The sequence below is a fragment of the Homo sapiens genome, chromosome 1 (genome assembly GCF_000001405.40).
Source record: "Homo sapiens chromosome 1, GRCh38.p14 Primary Assembly".
NCBI lineage: Eukaryota > Metazoa > Chordata > Mammalia > Primates > Hominidae > Homo > Homo sapiens.
The window spans coordinates 46,246,801-46,264,901 of NC_000001.11; the positions used below are offsets into that span (position 1 = coordinate 46,246,801).

At 47.3% G+C, this 18,101-nt stretch overlaps 1 protein-coding gene across 3 annotated transcripts in view, besides 1 other annotated feature; it reads left to right on the plus strand.

The window, feature by feature from the left end:
* Positions 524 to 783: a silencer, noted in NCBI's record as "silent region_839". NCBI's record gives its function as "represses an Ori minimal core promoter by ATAC-STARR-seq in GM12878 lymphoblastoid cells {active_cell/tissue: GM12878}" and the evidence as "EXISTENCE:reporter gene assay evidence [ECO:0000049][PMID:35858748]".
* RAD54L (RAD54 like) overlaps positions 888 to 18,101 on the plus strand; it is a 30,786-nt gene continuing 13,572 nt past the window's right edge. The window contains exons 1-9 of one of the 3 annotated variants that reach the window (NM_001142548.2): positions 888 to 946; positions 1,544 to 1,608; positions 1,712 to 1,798; positions 3,200 to 3,319; positions 11,886 to 11,946; positions 13,164 to 13,299; positions 13,742 to 13,811; positions 13,927 to 14,215; positions 14,461 to 14,585. In NM_001142548.2, coding sequence (NP_001136020.1) covers positions 1,606 to 1,608; positions 1,712 to 1,798; positions 3,200 to 3,319; positions 11,886 to 11,946; positions 13,164 to 13,299; positions 13,742 to 13,811; positions 13,927 to 14,215; positions 14,461 to 14,585 — 891 coding nt within the window. In that variant the 5' untranslated portion in view covers positions 888 to 946; positions 1,544 to 1,605. The other 2 variants (NM_001370766.1, NM_003579.4) reach the window with 2 other exon arrangements.

Genomic DNA, 18,101 nt, shown 5'->3' on the forward strand with positions numbered 1-18,101 from the left:
GCTTTACGCACATTAATTTACTTGTCAGAATAGCCATGGGGGGGAGGTACTATTATAATGCCACTTTAGATATGAAGAAACTGACGTTTTGAGAGATTGGATGATTAAATCTCTGACTCCAAACACAACGCTTCCTCCAACGCGGTTTGGCCTTGGAGAGGAAGGCAGCTTCTTTCAAGACACCCCTGAGCGAGAAAGTCGCGTCATCCGGGGGCTCCCATTGCCCGAGCCCGCCACGTGGCAGTCTGGGCCGAATGCCTCTCCCCACTTTCTGGGTGGGCGAGGCCTGACTCCAACCCCGGCCCTCCGCTCTAGACCTGGTACCACTGTAGATTCAATCCAAACTCCCAGAAATGTGCCGCCTTTCATAATCCCCAGCTGTCCACTACAGGTGGTAACTCCCCTGCTGCTCAATGTGGCGTAAATCTTCCCTTCCATAGCTGCGGGACCACAGCTCACCGACCTGGGACAAACACCCGAGACGGGCCGAATTCCAGCTCGCAGGTAGTAATTCCGCCCCTCCCCTCCCCGCTCCGTCGCGTCCAGTCCAGCTCTTCTAGCCCTGCCCCGCTCCTCTAGCCCAACCGCTCCCCACTGTTGGCCCCGCCCCTCCCCGCCCCGTCCAGCTCTTCTCGCCCCGCCCCGCTCTTCTCGCCCAACTGCTCCTCGCTGTTGGCCCCGCCCCTCCCCCGCCACCCCCGCCCCCGCCCCGCCCCTCTCTTCTCGCCCAACCGCCCACCTCTGTTGGCCCCGCCCTCCCATCTAAGTCACGCCTCCTAGTAGGTCAATTTAGCTTCTCCAGCTCCAGAGCCCAGACTCCTCATTGGGCGCAGCACTATTCCCGCCTCTTCCTTGGGTCGCGAGCGCCGAACTCATCGAACGCAGCCAATGGGTGATACGACGGCAGCGCGGCGGGAGGTTCGATTGACCCGGTCTTGGCGGGTCGGTGAGTCTTGGCGGCTGTTAACGCGCGCTTTGGGAACAGGAAGGTTGAGAGAGAGGTGCTGGGGTCTGCGTCTATCTCTGTCGCTCTTTTCAGCCCCTCCTGGTATTCCCCTCCTAACCTGGGTTTTTTACACGCCCGCGTGGCTTCCTGCTCGACCTCCCTGAGTCTGATCCTGGTTTCCACCTCCAGCCCTGGGAAATTTCCTTTCTCCAGACTCGCCCTCCCCACCCGGGCCTCGGACTTTCACCCCAGCTTCTCTCTCCTGGCCAGTGATTACCCACCCCCAATCCCACCCCGCCCCGCCGCGCAACTACCTCCTCCCTTCACCCGGACTGGGACCATCATCCCCACTCCACTCCGCCCAGTCTGGGACTCCACCTGCCTCCTCCCCAATCCCACACTAATCTCTGCTTGGTCTCTTCCTCTTTGGCCTAATCTCTCGTCTCGGCTTATTGGGGACGGCCACTCTCACAGTTTGGTTCCAAACACCAGTTCCTGGATGGATTCCCGCCATCCATGCCCCCTCTTTAATTAGCCGGTCCTCTCAATAATGTAGCAGCCCCCTCTACAGATTAGACCCTGGTCCTACACTCTTAGCCGCTGCCTGCTTTTGACCTTTGGCTCATGGGTACTTGACGTTTTAAACTCCTAGGCCCAGGATGGTAAGTGTGGGCCTAGGGGAGACTGGGAATAGCCCTGGGTCAGGGTCTAGTAGGCCTAGGCTGCAGGATCCTTGCAGGCACTGTTTCTGTTCTCCCTTTACAGAGGAGGAGCTTGGCTCCCAGCCAGCTGGCCAAGAGAAAACCTGAAGGCAGGTCCTGTGATGATGAAGACTGGCAACCTGGCCTAGTGGTGAGCACTCAAGGGGACAGGGAAGGTGGGTAGAGCTGTTTGGACAGAAAAGAAGCCAGGATTTGGTTTCTAGGGTTACATAGCCAATTCCAGATGCCTCTTTTGTATGTTCAATAAACTTTTAGTGAGTACTTACTATGTGCCAGGCATTGAACAAGATTAGTAAAATCTTTATCCTCAGGGTAGTCACTAGAAGCTAATATAGCCTCAGTTTTCCTGGTGGGAAAAGATAAGCAAAAGAGCCAGTTGGATTGGACCTTTTGACTCTGCTTGGAAAAAAGGGCTACACAACAGCAATTAGCAGCTGGCTCTTTTGCTCTTTGTCCCCTGCCCAGTGTCACAGAACAGTAGAGTGTTCTGGGCCTACCTTGGAGTCCTGGGCTCACTTGGGCCTAGATCTGACAGGTTGTGTCCTTCCAGTCCTTGCTCATACTCAAGTACAGTATATTCTACTTTAGGTTGGGCCCTGGGCTCTGCTTCCTGTTTTGGAGGCTTGTTGGGGCTGGCTGTGGGCAGGACCTATGTAAACCAAAATAAATAGGACAGTGCAGCATGGACTTCAGAGAATAAGAGCAGTTCAAGAAGTGGGGGCTTGGCCACTGGAACTTTGAAGGAAGGGATCAGCTACGCAAGGACTAGAAGGCACTTTTTGGCAGGAGCAGTGTGTGAATAAGGTGTGGGGTAGGGGTGCTGGTGTTTGTTTCAGGTGTGTCTTACAGGATCACTGAGGCTTCAAATATCCTGGCAAGCTGGTACAAGTGTGTTCTTGCCTAATGGCTTGATGGGGCTTGCTCAATAGTTGTACCGTGGTGTGCAAGGGGCTTCTCTACCTGTGAAGGAGGCACATTGGCTGACCCTTGCCATGTACATGGGTCTCAGACTTGAACTTGGGGCAGCATTCTCTGCATCTGGGTCTGCTGTCAGTTGCTGGTTGCTTCTGAAGATGCTTTTAGTGCCAGTGTCCTCACAGCCATGGGTGGCCTGAGTGGGGAGTGGCCTCAGTGGCCTGGGAGTTGAAGGCAGCTGTATTCTTGCCTCTTGGAAACTCAGCGAAATGTTTGGTTGCTCCATCATTCCATGGAGCTTTTGGAGTGAAGCTTTGGGCCACCAGGACTCCATGCTGTTGGTAGACTTGCTCTTCAGAGGCCCATTTTATTTACCTCTTCCATTGCCCCGCTCAGTTTAGGCAGGTTATTTAATCTCATTAAGCTCTAGTTTTCTCACCTCTTAAATAAGGATAATAACTCTACATAATAGAGTTGCTATGAAGATGATACACTATGACATGTGTGAAGAATTTAGCACAGTGCCTGGCACTTAATAAGCACTTCAAGTGTTAGTTGCCATTATGGTGATTTCTGTGGTCTTCTAGACTTCACCTTTCCCAATTCTCTCTCCTAGACTCCTAGGAAACGGAAATCCAGCAGTGAGACCCAGATCCAGGAGTGTTTCCTGTCTCCTTTTCGGAAACCTTTGAGTCAGCTAACCAATCAACCACCTTGTCTGGACAGCAGTCAGCATGTAAGCCAGAACTGCAACCTGCATGTGTATGTCTGTGCCCAGTCACTCAGCCTAGGTAGACTCCTGTCCCTGTACACTCCCTCAGTGCTTTCTAGAGTGGCCAGAAGACACACATCTGTAGGGGCTTTGGACCTGCCCACAGCTGCTGGGGCCTGCTTAGAGAGGTGTGCCTGACTTGTGCCTGGTTTATAGTAGCTACATGGGCACCAGATATCAGATGGTTCAGATTCCTGAGGAAAGGAGGGTAAAGGAACTAGGATCCTCATGTCAGCTCAGACTCTGACTCTGTATATGACTTTAAGGTGTACCAGAGTCATGTATTTCCTCTAGTAAAGTCAAACTTAATCACCACCATGGCAGGTTCTGTGCATTGCCTCATGTAATTCTCACGTTTTAAGATGAGAAAACAGTCTCAGAAGGGTTAAGTAATTTGCTCAGAGTGGGTGGAGCAGATCTGTCTATCTCCAAAGCTTTTCCACTAAGCTTTATGAGGAATGTTTTGAAGGAAAAGTAGGAATACATAATGGAGATTAGTCATTTGTGCATTCAGCAAACATTTAAAAACGGTTTTGTGGCCGGGTCGGGTGGTTCACGCCTGTAATCACAGCACTTTGGAAGGCTGAGATGGGTGGATCAACTGAGGTTAGGAGTTTGAGACCAGCCTGGCCAACATGGTGAAACCCCGTCTCTACTAAAAATACAAAAATTAACTGGGCATGGTGTCATACCCCTGTAGTCCCAGCTACTCAAGTGAGGCATGAGAATCACTTGAACCCGGGAGGCCGAGGTTGCAGTGAGTCAAGATCACGCCACTGCACTCCAGCCTGGGCAAGAGTGAGACTCGGTCTCAAAAAAAAAAAACAAAAAACAAAAAACAAAACAAAACAACTAAATGAAAACAGTTTTGGGCCAGGCGCAGTGGCTCACGCCTGTAATCCCAACACTTTGGGAGGCCGAGGTGGATGGATCACCTGAGGTCAGGAGTTCAAGACCAGCCTGGCCAACATGGTGAAATCCCGTCTCTATTAAAAATACAGAGAAAATTAGCCAGGCATGGTGGTGCATGCCTGTAATCCCAGCTACTTGGGAGGCTGAGGCAGGAGAATCACTTGAACCCGGGAGGCAGCGGTTGCAGTGAGCCGAGATCATGCCATTGCACTCCAGCCTGGGCGACAAGAGTGAAAATCCGTCCCCAAAACAACAACAAAAAAACAACAGTTTTGTGTAATACTTGATAAATATAGATATATTACATAAGTTATAAAACACAAACACCCGTGAACCCATCATCCAGGACTAGAACATTGTCAAACCCATAATCCCTTTTCCCATCCCCAGAGGTAATCACTATCTTGAATTTTATCCATCATCTTTTGCTTTTATGATAGTTTTAGCATACATATAAAAATCACTAATACAGCCTTGGCAACAGAGTGAGACCACCTCAAAAAAAAAATCACTAATACATTGTTTAATTGGTTCTTTGAACTTTAAAAAATGGTGTTGGGTGGGCATGTTGGTTCATGCCTGTAATCCCAGCATTCTGGGAGGCCAAGGTAGGCGGATAGCTTGAGCTCAGGAGTTTGAGACCAACCCAGGCAACATGGTGAAACCCCATCTCTACCAAAAATACAAAAAAAATTAGCTGGGCATGGTGGCGTGTGCCTGTTGTCCCAGCTACTTGGGAGGCTGACATGGGAGGATCACTTGAGCTTAGGAGGTGGAGGTTGCAGTGAGCTGAGATTGGCACCATTGCACTCCAGCCTGGGTGACAGAGCGAGACCCCGTCTCAAAAGAAAGAAAATGGTGTTAAAATGGTGTGTAATCCTCTGGGACTGTTTCATTCAGGATTTGTTCAAAGTTGTCCTGTGTAACTACATGGCATAAGTGCAGTTGTGGGAGTGCACAACAGGAGACCTATGGGTCTGGAGATTGGGGAAGACCTGCCTCTGAGAGATGTGCTGTTAAGTCCTGAAAGATATGAGGGGTTAGACAGGTGAAGGGAGTGGAAAACATTCTAATAGAAGGAACAGCTTATTGGAAAGACTGGCAGCAATAGAGGCAGGTACTGAAAAGAGAGTGTGGGGAGTTGGGGGATGGTGGTGAGAGATGAGAGTTGGAGAGCTGTGCAGTGGCTAAGAGTGGAAGGCCTTTCAGAAGCCATGCTAGGAGAGTCTGGACTAAGGTCACTGAAGAGCTTTAGAAGTGTTTTAAGTGGGGGTAGGAGGTAACAGCAGTATAGAATATTTGTTGGATGGGGAGAGACTGGAGGTAGGGAAACTAGTGAGAAAGCTATTGCAGGTGGCCAAGCAAGAGAGGATTATGGCCTGGACATGGGTTTTAGGGGAATGGGGAATGGGAAGAAGTGGGTGGATTTTGAGAGATACTTAAAAATTACAAGTGGAAAAACTTGGGATTGATTACATGTGGGGAGAGGGAAAATTGAGGATGAAGTTGGGATTTTAGGCTTTGGCAAGGTAGATGGATGGTGGTGTCATTTGCTGAGATAGGGAACACAGAAGAAGAATGGCATTTGGTGGGAGGGAGATGGCAGGCACTGTAATCAGGAGGCCCATGAAGTTCAATGTATTATACAAGAGCTATTCTCTTTTAATAGCAAAGTTACAGGAATAGAACAGAAGATAGACAACATTAAAAATGTACTTGCAGGCCAGGTGTGGTGGCTCACACCTGTAATCCCAGCACTTTGGGAGGCTGAGGCAGGAGGATCACTTGAGCCCAGGAGTTTGAGACCAACTTGAACAACATAGTGAGACCCTATTTCTAAAAAACAATAAATAAATTGGCTGGATGTGGTTGCACGTGACTGTAGTCCCAGCTACTCTGGAGGCTGAGGTGGGAGGATCGTTTGAGCTGAGGAGGTCAAGGGTGCAGTGACCCGTGATACTGTCAGTGCACTCCACCCTGGGTGACAGAGACCCTGTCTCAAAAGGAAAAAAAATACTTGCGTATAGGAAAATTCAGAAAAGTATAGTTAATGGGTAGAATCTGCTGTATGATAAGAATGCTACTAACACTGTTTAGTTGCTGTCAATAAGAAATTGTATTTTAAAAAATCCATTGTCCAGAAGATATGAACAGGTTTGTTTATGGTTGTTATAAAATTGAAGTGCTGAAACTTGTTCACTGAAACATTTTGACTTGTATTAATGCTTTACATCCCTACATTTATATTAAGAATTCACACAAAAGGCCGGGCACGTTGGCTCACGCCTATAATCCCAACACTTTGGGAGGCCTAGGCGGGCGGATCACAAGGTCAGGAGATCGGAGATTGAGACCATCCTGGCTAACATGGTGAAACTCCATCTCTAGTAAAAAGTACAAAAAATTAGCTGGGTGTGGTGGCGGGCGCCTGTAGTCCTAGCTACTCGAGAGGCTGAGGAATGGCATGAACCCGGGAGGTGGAGCTTGCAGTGAGCCAAGATTGTGCCACTGCGCTCCAGCCTGGTGACAGAGCGAGACTCTGTCTAAAAAAAAAAAAGAATTCACACAAAAAATGAAAATGGAAAAACTGCAAACTGCAATACCGGATTTCTGTCCCCTATTTTTCTACTCACAGTGATATACTTAGGTACTCTTTTTTTTTTTTTTTTTTTTTGAGACAGAGTCTTGTGTTCTCACCCAGGCTGGAGTGCTGCAGTGGTGCTGTCTTGGCTCACCTGCTTACTTATCTCCATTCTCCTTCAGCTGGAGCTTGGTGAGCTAACACTGCACTTAGAGAGCGATGGTGATCTTTAATTCCTTTTGAAATCAGAAGAAAAAAAATACATAGTAATCCAGCCTGATTATATTATTATAGTTATCTTTATACCAATGCAGTCTTTTTTGTTTTTGTTTTTTCTTTTTTTTGATAGGGAGTCTTGCTCTGTCGCTCAGAATGGAGTGCGGTGGCGTGATCTTGGCGCACTGCAACCTCTGCCTCCCAGGTTCAGGCGATTCTCCTGCCTCAGCTTCCTGAGTAGCTGGGATTACAGGCACCCGCCACCATACCTGGCACATTTTTGTGTTTTTAGTAGAGACATGGTTTTACCATGTAGGCCAGGCTGGTCTTGAACTCTTGACCTTGAGTGATCTGCCTGCCTCAGCCTCCCAAAATGCTGGTATTACAGGTGTGAGCTGCTGCATCTGGCCTCTTTTTTTTTCTTTTTTTTTTCTTTTTTTAATGGAGGAAGGGGTCCCAAAGGCAAAAGTGCCTGGGGCCCACAAGAGTCATAGTGTGGCCTTGGAGATGAGGACTTCAGCCTTAGACATGATGATTTTGAAGTCCCTGCAGGAGATCTAGGTCTGGAGTCAGTTGTAAATGTGGATGTGGAGTAAGGTATAACTAGAAATACACCTGGGACTCATTAGCATAGATAAATTTTATACCTGGTAAGTGGATTGGTGAATGGGTAGTCAGAAGATCTGAGGGCTAAACCCTGAGCCCTGGGGAGCACTGACTTTTTTTTTTTTTTTTTTTTCCTGAGACAGGGTCTTGCTGTGTCACCCAGGCTGGAATGCACTGGTGCGATCACGGCTCACTGCAGCCTCAATCTTAGGCTCGGGTATTGCTGCCACCTCAGCCTCTGGAGTAGCTAGGACCACAGGCGTGTGCCACCAAACCTGGCTAATTTTTAAATGATATGTAGAGACCAGGTCTCACTGTGTTGCCCAGGCAGGTTTCAAACTCCTGGGTTCTAGCAATCCTCCTGTCTTGGCCTCCCAGAGTGCTGGGATTACAGACGTGAGTCACTGCAGCCGGTTGGGAGCATTGAGCTCTGGGGGTGGGTTGAGGGTTAAAAGGCAGAGGGAAAAGAGCTCATTAGGGGACTGAAGATGAGATCCCAGAAAGGTGGAGAGTAGTGTCATGGAAATCAAAGGCAGAAAATATTTGAGGAGTGGTCAGCTTCGTCAAGTAAGATACATGTCCATTGGAATTAGGGTCATGTAGGCCATTCGTGATCTTGGCCAGAGTGGAAGGGGCAGAAGACAGGAAGAGTGGGAGGAAAGAAGGGGAGCTATATAACTTACTAGAAGTTTGCCTGTGGAGAGGAGAGATAAGCAATCAAATGAATATTTGTTTTTAAGATAGGAGATAATTAAGTCCATTTTAAATGCTGGTAAGAGCTAGTAGAGAGGGAGAGGTTGAGATACAAGAGTGATCAGTCATAACAGAGTGATTCTCTGCAGAAATGGGAAGCTTTAGCCTTGGTGGGGAGGAGGGATGCTGTCTCTCATCTATCAGAAGGAAAGATTGGTATGAATTATCAGTAACTAAATGAACAGAGAATAAGAGCATGCTCCCTCCCCTGCCCCCTGCTATAGAGACTGGTGAGTCACCAAACCAGATCCCTGAAGGTTGGCCATTCCTTTTTTTTTTTTTTTTTTTTTTTTGAGACATAGTCTTGCTCTGTGACCCAGGCTGGAGTGCAGTGGCGCGATCTCGGCTCACTGCAGCCTCTGCCTCCCAGGTTCAAGTGATTCTTGTGCCTCAGCCTCCCAAGTAGCTGGAATTATAGGTGCCCGCCCCCACACCCAGCTCAGTTTTTTGTACTTTTAGCAGAGACGGGGTTTCACCATGTTGGCAAGGCAGATCTCGAACACCTGACCTCAGGTGACCTGCCCGCCTTGGCCTCCCAAAGTGCTGGGATTACAGGCGTGCACTGTGCCCAGCAGGCCATTCCATTTTGCAGGCTGAGCCCTCAGACATTTTTGGCCAGGGGTCTCCACATTCTTCCTTACCAGTTATGCAAGCCTGTAGTTCTCCCTGCAGAACCTATGGTTCCTGTGTTCTATTGAAAGTCTTTTTAAATTTAGGGCATAAATTCTTGGCTACTCAGAGCCTCAAATCTAGCCTTCTATACTGATAATTTTGAAAATATTTCTGTTTTAGAATTGATGCCAAATTAAAAAGAAAATTAGGGTCCATCTCCTTTTCCTCTCATTTGACTTAAGAGTAGCTTTTTTTTTTCCTTTGAGGCAGGTCTTGCTGTCACCCAGGCTGGAGTGCAGTGGTGTAGTTGTAGCTCACTGCAGCCTTGAACTCCTAGGCCAAGTGATCTTCCTGCCTCAGCCTTCTGAGTAGCTGGGACCATGTGCCACAGTGCCTGGGTAATTTTTAAATTTTGTGTACGGGGTGTGTGGGGGGGTCTCACTACGTTGCCTAGGGTGGTCTCAAAATCCTGGGCTTAAGCGGTCCTCCCACCTCAGCCTCCCAAAGCACTGGGGTTATAGGCATGAGCCACTGCACTGGCCAAGGGTCCTTTTTGTTAGCATTTTTCATAATGATTATCATTGCTATTCATAGTTACAGTCATGCTAATTAAAAATAGTAAAGGCTGGGCATAATGGCTCATGCCTATAATCCCAGCACTTTGGGAGGCCAAGGTGAGAAAGATCCCTTGAGCCAGGACTTAGAGAAAGATCCCTTGAGCCAGGACTTAGAGACTGCAGTGAGGTATGATCACCACTACTGTACTCCAGCCTGGGCGACAAAATGAGACCCTGTCTTTTAAAAAAAAAAAAAGTCAATAAAAGATTTTATTCAGATGCAAAGAAATTTGCAAATAAACAAAAGCATTTGAGTTTTTTGCCAACTTTGCCTTTATGTTATGTTATTTAGTGTGATGTTGTCATGTTATTTAGTGTGATAAGGAAGTTCATTTCTACATACTTGTTTTCTGTCTTCTAATATCACAAAAAAAATTCATTACTTTTTTTAAATTTAAAGTACATTTGAGGCCAGGTGTGATGGCTCATGCCTATAATCCCAGCACTTTGGGAGGCCAAGGTGGACGGATCACTTGAGGGCAGGAGTTCAAGACCAGCCTGGCCAACATGGTGAAACCCTGTTTCTACTAAAAATATCAAAATTAGCTAGGTGTGGTGGCGTGTGCCTGTAGTCCCAGCTACTTGGGAGGCTGAGGCAGGAGAATTGCTTGAACCTGGGAGGTGGAGGTTGCAGTGAGCTGAGATTGTGCCATTGCACTCCAGCCTGGGCAACAGAGCAAGACTCCATCTCAAAAAAAAAAAAAAAAAAAACCCCAAAAAACAAATAAAGTACATTTGAATTTCTAGACATTGATGATGTGTGAAGAAATGAGTCAGAAAACAAAGGTAAAAATATCACGGCAGGCTTGCTTTTTTTCCTATTAGACTATGTTTTTTGCTAGAAGGGACATTTTTTCATTACTGCTTTTTCCACTAATATATTCCCATTAAAACTACCTTCAGGGTCTCTGCTCTTTATTTCTCTGCTCTCTTGGCTTCCACCTCTGGTTTTGTTGAGGTTCACAGGCTATCACAGTTCCGCAAAGGGCTCAGGTGTGTGTGGACCAGAACTTCCATGGGAGCTGTCAGAGTTAGCTCAGTGTTAATTTTTCTGCCTTCTCTGCCCCTGCCCCAGCCCCATAGCCCATGGAATAATGCTGGTTCAAGGCAGAAGTGCTTGTACAGAGGCTTCTTGCCTTTAGGTGGAGGAGTCACCAGTGCTACCTCTCTAGGACCCACATATGTCTACCTGCTGTCACCCTTGTCCCACTTGCTTTTTCTTAGTGTTGGGCTTAGCTTCTCTCTCATGTCCCTTTCTCATGTTCCTTCTCTTGTGCTTTACATGGCAGGAAGCTGCTGGGTCTGGGCTGATCTGCATGGCTGTACTCAGAGTGGGTGAGAGGCCACGTTGCCTACTGAGTACAAGTAAGGACCCTAGAACCAGGAAAGTCCTGCATTTGTAATGGCTTTGTGACTTGAGAAAGTGACTTAATCACTCTGAGCCTCAGTTTGCTCATTTGTAAAATGGAAACACCAGTAATATATGGACCTCATACAGCTGTTAGGATTAAATGGTAACATGAATGCAAGAGGCTTAGCTCTGTGTCTAGCATACATTGGTAGCCATCATTATTTTTATTTATATTTTTAAATATATATTTTTAAAATAGAGATGGGGTCTTGCTATATTGCCCAGGCTGGTCTCGAACTCCCAGACCTAAGTGATCCTCCTGCCTTGGCCTCCCAAAGTGTTAGGATTACAGGTGTGAGCCACCATGCCCGGCCTGGTGTTGTTAATATTATTTTATTAATACGATGGCTCCCATTTCTCCATCACTACTCTTTGATGAGCTGTTTAGTTCCCAAGGAGGCTGATGTGAGTATTAGATATATTAGACATAACTGATGTAGCCAAAAAAAAAAAAAAAAGAATTGTGAGGTGTGCTTGGGAAGGTGTAACCCTATATGACAGTGGTTAAACCCAGACATTAGAATTATCCATTATTACTCAGGTTGGCTAAGTCTGTGGTATTTGCTTTCCAAGGTGCTATACCCTAGGGAAGAGCTAGGTATGCTCACTGGCATGGTTTTTAATGAGTGAATGGTTTCCTGGGTTCTAAGCCTCGTGGTTGACTGAGGCTGGGCCCTTCTGCTATCCCTGGATATTTGTAGAACCTTACATAAAGCCTCGAAGATGGATGCTGTTGTACAAAACCTAATGTGAAGCATATCATGATATTGTCCCATAACATCTCCAGTCAGTCCTGAATCCTTGTTTCTCCTTTCTTTTTAGGAAGCATTTATTCGAAGCATTTTGTCAAAGCCTTTCAAAGTCCCCATTCCAAATTATCAAGGTAAAATGGAGGTTTTTCTGTTTTTGAAATCAGTCATATGTACGTGTGCCTGAATAAATTAAAAACCTGCTTTTGTAAATACAAGCTTAGCTGGGAATTGAAGGTGCCAGTCCAGCGGTGGCTGTGTTTGGGGTGACCCTCCTGAGGCCTGCATGAAAACTGTGTTAGCCTCAGTAAGGGCTGCCAAGACTAACTGCCCCTCATCTTCTTGGTAGAGGTGTCCCGGTGCTCAGAAAGCTCCTGGTGGGCCAAGATGGCTGATGGACCTGGGCTTCATTCAATCCAAGTGCATTCAGTAGCATCCCTTTTATGAGGCTGACTGTGTGGGAGGCCTGGATTCTATAAGGTTTTTCCCTGTCTTATGTAGGGTACAGCATTATGCTAAAACTGGGGCTTGGAGGAATAGGGAGGCCAGCTTTCTCTCTCTCTCTTTTTTTTTTTTTAATTTAATAGAGATAGGATTTCACTATGTTGGCCAGGCTGATCTCGAACTCCTGGGCTCAAGCGATCCTCCCACCTCGACCTCTCAAAAAGTGTTGGGACTACAGGCTTGAGATACTACGCTTGGCTGTGGCCAGCTCTCAGGAGCTCTCAGAAAGCTCCATGAAAGTGCCCTTTAGAATTTCAGGCCTTCCCAGGATTGTCTTGAGTTGAAATGAACCAGATCTGGCACCTCAGAAGTTTGTAATTGAATGGGAGAAATAAAACGGGAAAAGCTCTGATTCAAAGCAGAAAAATTCTGGGGGCTGGGCATCGTGGCTCACGCCTGTAATACCAGCACTTTGGGAGGCCAAGGCGGGCAGATCACCAGAGGTCAGGAGTTCAAGACCAGCCTGGACAACATGGTGAAACCCTGTCTCTACTAAAAAAAATACAAAAATTAGCTGGGTGTGGTGGTGGGAGCCTATAATCCCAGCTTCTTGGGAGGCTGAGGCAGGAGAATTGCTTGAACCTGGGAGGCAGAGGTTGCAGTGAGCCGAGATTGTGCCACTGCACTCCAGCCTGGGCAACAAAGTGAGACTCCATCTCAAAAAAAAAAAAAAGCTGAATGGGATAATGGTCATATAGAGATGCCCAAACTGAGTTTGGAGGCATTCTCAGAGAGAGAGGGTCATATGGGAGCTCGGGAAAGGTTATGTGAAGGACAAGTATTTGAGCTGGGCTTGCTGGAGCTCCTAAACATAGATTCAGGTGACGGAATGATTATTGGTTTGTAGGTCCTCTGGGCTCTCGAGCATTGGGCCTGAAAAGGGCTGGGGTCCGCCGGGCCCTCCATGACCCCCTGGAAAAAGATGCCTTGGTTCTGTATGAGCCTCCCCCGCTGAGCGCTCATGACCAGCTGAAGCTTGACAAGTATGTGCACTGGTATTTCATAAGCAGTTTTGGTTCTCTGTATATGCACGCATACTTGGGAGGGCAGAGGGTATTTTGGTGTGATTTCTTTTTAGGATTGACATATGTTTTCAGAGAGTAGATGATTGGGGAAGGAGACTGCCTGGGGAAGAGCCTGTGGTCATGTCCAGTGAGTGGGCATTCCTCATCCCCTCCTGCCTTCCCAGGATGCTCACTCAGGAGGAGGAGTGATTGAGGTGATGACACAGGGAACCCATCCCTCTCTGAGCTAACTTTCTAACTCCTAAAGTAGGAACTTGCTATGGTTTTACGATTTATCAGCCAAGAAGGTCTTCTTTTAGGCAGCTGCCTCTGTTGCCTCCGGATCAGCAGGACACAGCTTCCTGAGGGTGCTCCCTTGCCCATGTCTGAGCACGCTGTTTTCTTTGCTGTGTTTTCTCAGGGAGAAACTCCCTGTCCATGTGGTTGTTGACCCTATTCTCAGTAAGGTTTTGCGGCCTCATCAGAGAGAGGTAAATGAGGGTGAGGGGAACGAGGTATGGGCTATGGGCTGAGCCTGGGAGACTACCATCCCTGGGACAGCAGCAGCGTAGGTGCCAAAGTGGACTGAAGGCTGTTATTCTCTAGGGAGTGAAATTCCTGTGGGAGTGTGTCACCAGTCGGCGCATCCCTGGCAGCCATGGCTGCATCATGGCTGATGAGATGGGCCTAGGAAAGACGCTGCAGTGCATCACATTGATGTGGACACTTTTACGCCAGAGTCCAGAGTGCAAGCCAGAAATTGACAAGGCAGTGGTGGTGTCGCCTTCCAGCCTGGTGAAGAACTGGTACAATGAGGTTGGGAAATGGCTCGGAGGGAGGATCCAACCTCTGGCCATCGATGGAGGATCTAAGGATGAAATAGACCAAAAGCTGGGTACGGAGCCCTAACAAAGATGGCTGCACTCTCCTGCACAGCCTGCTGCTTTCTTACGTGTATGCTCATTTATGGCCAGGGTGGAGGGCAATGCAGGGGTAGAAGAAAAGAGAATTTCCATTGAAAATAGTTGAAGTGGAGTCAGTTGTTTCCAGGCTAAATTAAAGAACTGTCTAATTGTTTTTTTTGTTTTTTTTTTTTTCAAAAGATTCTGAATTGTTCCCTTTACACCTTTTCTGTTGTAGAAGGATTCATGAACCAGCGTGGAGCCAGGGTGTCTTCTCCCATCCTCATCATTTCCTATGAGACCTTCCGCCTTCATGTTGGAGTCCTCCAGAAAGGAAGTGTTGGTCTGGTCATATGTGACGAGGTACTTGACTCTCAGCAGTCTGGGTGGTAGGAGAAAATCTGTCAAAATCTCTTCACTGAGTATTGCCTTCCAAGGGCTGTGCTAGTCACTGGGGAATGCTGAAGACAGGATGCTGCCTTGGAGACAAGTGACAGGGAGAGCCTGTGATACCAAAATACAAGATACTGTCTGCCAAAAGAGGGCTGAAACAATGCTTAGAACCCTGAGGAGAGTGAGATACTGGGGGCTGATTGGCTTTGTTGCCTCCGGATAGTATTCCTAGACTAAAGAAGGACCTTGAAGGGTGGGTGGCAATGTTTAGAGGATATAAATCAGAAAGTGTCTGAGACAAGTCTCAATTTAGAGATTTATTTTGCCAAGGTTGAGGATGCTCTGGGGAAAAAGAGACACAAGCCAAAGTAGGATCTGTAGCCTGTACTTTTTCCAAAGAGGTTTTTGAGGACTTCAATATTTAAAGGGGGGCTGGCCACGATGATTCACGCCTGTAATCCCAGCACTTTTTGAGAGGCTGAGGTGAGTGGATCACTTGAGCCCAGGAGTTTGGGACCAGCCTGGGCAATATGGTGAAACCCCACCTCTACTTAAAAAAGATAAAAATAGTCAGGTTTGGTGGTGCACCTGTAGTCCCAGCTACTCAGGAGGCTGAGGTGGGAGAATCAGCTGAGCCCGGGAAGTAAGCTGAGATTGCGCCACTGCACTCCATCCTGGGTGATGGGGTGTGAAACCCTGTCTCAAAACACACATATGACCGGGCGCGGTGGCTCACACCTGTAATCCCAGCACTTTGGGAGGCTGAGGCGGGCGGATCATGCGGTCAGGAGTTTGAGACCAGCCAAGATGGTGAAACCGTGTCTCTACTAAAACTACAAAAATTAGCCGAGCGTGGTGGTGGGTGCCTGTAATCCCAGCTACTCAGGAGGCTGAGGCAGGAGAATCTCTTGAACCCGGGAGGTGGAGGTTGCAATGAGCCTAGATAATGCCACTGCACTCTAGCCTGGGTGACAGAGCAAGACTCTGTCTCAAAAAAACAAAATAAAAACCAAAAAACACACATATACACAGACACACATGACCCTTTCTCAAAAAACAACACCACACAAATATGCATAAAGGGGCAAGAGCAGGCAGGAGGGAAAGAGGAGCCATCAGTTATGCATTCAGCTCAATAAATCTGATTTTACATACAGTTAAGTAAATAAAGAGTAGAGGAAGAAGTCAAATACACATTTGTCTGGGAGGGAGGATTTCTAGTCTTGTCTTTGTCCCCTGCTTGTAAAGATGAGCTGTTTTTTTACATTGTCAGGGTGAGGGAGGCCACCTGGGGAGAGGCATGGCGTTCTATCTGCAGCTATCTGTTTAGGAACAAAAGGAAAGACATTTTTTTGCTTGACTAGTTCCCAAGCTTAGCTTTTCCCTTTGGCATAGTTTGGGGTCCTGAGATTTTGTTTTCCTTTCACAGGGAACAGGTTCTAGAGTTAGAGACCTTTATTTGTATCCTGGCTCTGCCACTGACCAGCAGTGTGACCTTCAACAAGTTACTTTATCAGCTGAACCTCTGTTTCTACATCAGTAAAATGGGGTGATAATATCTGCCTCATAGGATTATTGTGAGGATTAAATGAAATTATTAAGAAAAAGCTCTTATCGCAGTGCCTGGTATGTCATAAGGCCTTGGCAAACGTAAGCTCTTGGTGGTTATTCCAGGCTGGGGGTACTTGCAAGAACAAAAGCAGAGATAAGAAAGTCCATACACCTTGTAGTAGTAGTTTGTGTTGACTTCTTGTTTCTTGTTTCTGGAACTAAGGGAATATGGCCGTAGTTACTTCCTGGCCTTTTCCAGTATGTGTGAATGGCAATAGAGAGGCTAGTACTTAGGAAGCAGTGAGGGTGGCTGGGAGCTTCCTACTATAGAGAATTTCCCAGGACTTCCCAGTGGGCTTGGCGACCCTGAGGCTATAGTCATTGTTTGCAACTTCTTGGGAGAGTTAACCTCCTTTGTATACCCCAGAGGTTCTAGTGGAGAGGTGGCTGAAAGACTTGGCCCTATCTGTCAACCAGTTGTCAGGCTAGGCTCAGCTCTGGGTACTGTAGATTAGCCCAGTTGTCTGAGGAACTTCAGAGAGGGGACAGAGGGAAAAAGCTTGCTTTTGGGTACCATGCTTTCTAGTTGTGAGCTATTTTCTGGTCAGTCATTGGCGGGTCTTCAAACTCCCAACTTCCTGGTAGGAGTAGGGAACTTACCAGGTTGAGGTGAGGTATGCATGTTACTGCCCTGTGGTTCAAGGCCCTGACATCTGCTTCATCACTGTGGAGGGGGACTATGCCAGGAGCCAGGTCCAAAGCATTGTGGGAGAGGAAGGCAGGCTGTAGCTGTTGAGCCTTTGAGGATTAGGGAGCATCTAAATTTTTTTCTACTTTTTGTTTTTTTTTGAGACAAGGGTCTTGTTCTGTTGTCCAGATGGAGTGCAGTGACGTGATCTTGGCTCACCGCAACCTCTGCCTCCCATATTTAAGTAATTCTCCTGCCTCAGCCACCCGAGTAGCTGATATTACAGGCGTGCACCACCACTCTGGCTAATTTTTGTATTTTTAGTAGAGATGGGGTTTCACCATGTTGGCCAGGCTAGTCTCGAACTCCTGGCCCCAAATAATCTGCGGCCTTGGCCTCCCAAAGTGCTGGGATTACAGGTTTGAGCCACCGTGCCCAGCCTTTTTCTACTCCTTAGTGTTTTTTTCTTCCCCACTCTGTCCTGTTTTATGAGCTGACTCTGTGCAGGGCACAAGGGATGAGGCTGCCTCTTATCACACTGCAGCCCCTTGGCTGTTTACCTTTCTACTTGTTTACCTTTTATTTTGTCAACTGTCAGAGATCTGAGGAACCAAAAGTCCTGAAAAGATGGTCACCTTACTCCAGGGAAGGAGAGGGTTTGTCCTGTTCAGACCCTGGAAAGGGAAGGTGCCATTTCAGGCTTTCATGTTCTCAGCTCCCACAGCATCTTCCTCCCAGTAACGCTTTTCTCTGGAACACAGTTTTTCATAATAACTTCTATGTACAAAATCTTTGATCCTCAATCAAAAGACACGGGATCAGCTCTGGCTTTGCCACTTACAAGCGTGACTTTCCACAGATGAGACTGCTCTGAGATTGTTTCTTCATCTGTAGAGTGGATGGCACATGGGCTACTTGAAAGGGATATGATACAGATCAAGAGAGGATATATGGGAGCACTTTGTACAAGTGTATAAATAGCAGAGGGATTGACGTCATCGTCATCTCAATCTTAAAGATTAGGAGACAAACTCAGGGAAGTGCGTAGTGACTTGCCCAGGTTCTCCTAGCGAGTACATAGTAAGCTGGAATGTGAATGCAGGTGTGAGATTCCAAGTCGTGGCTCTTTTTCCTATCCCTCTCTGCCTTGGATGCTTGGTGCAGGAAGAAGCTTGCCTTGGGTATGGAAGGGTTGTCCCTGTGCTCCTCATTGAGACCCATGTGGATCCTTAGTGACTGGTCCAATA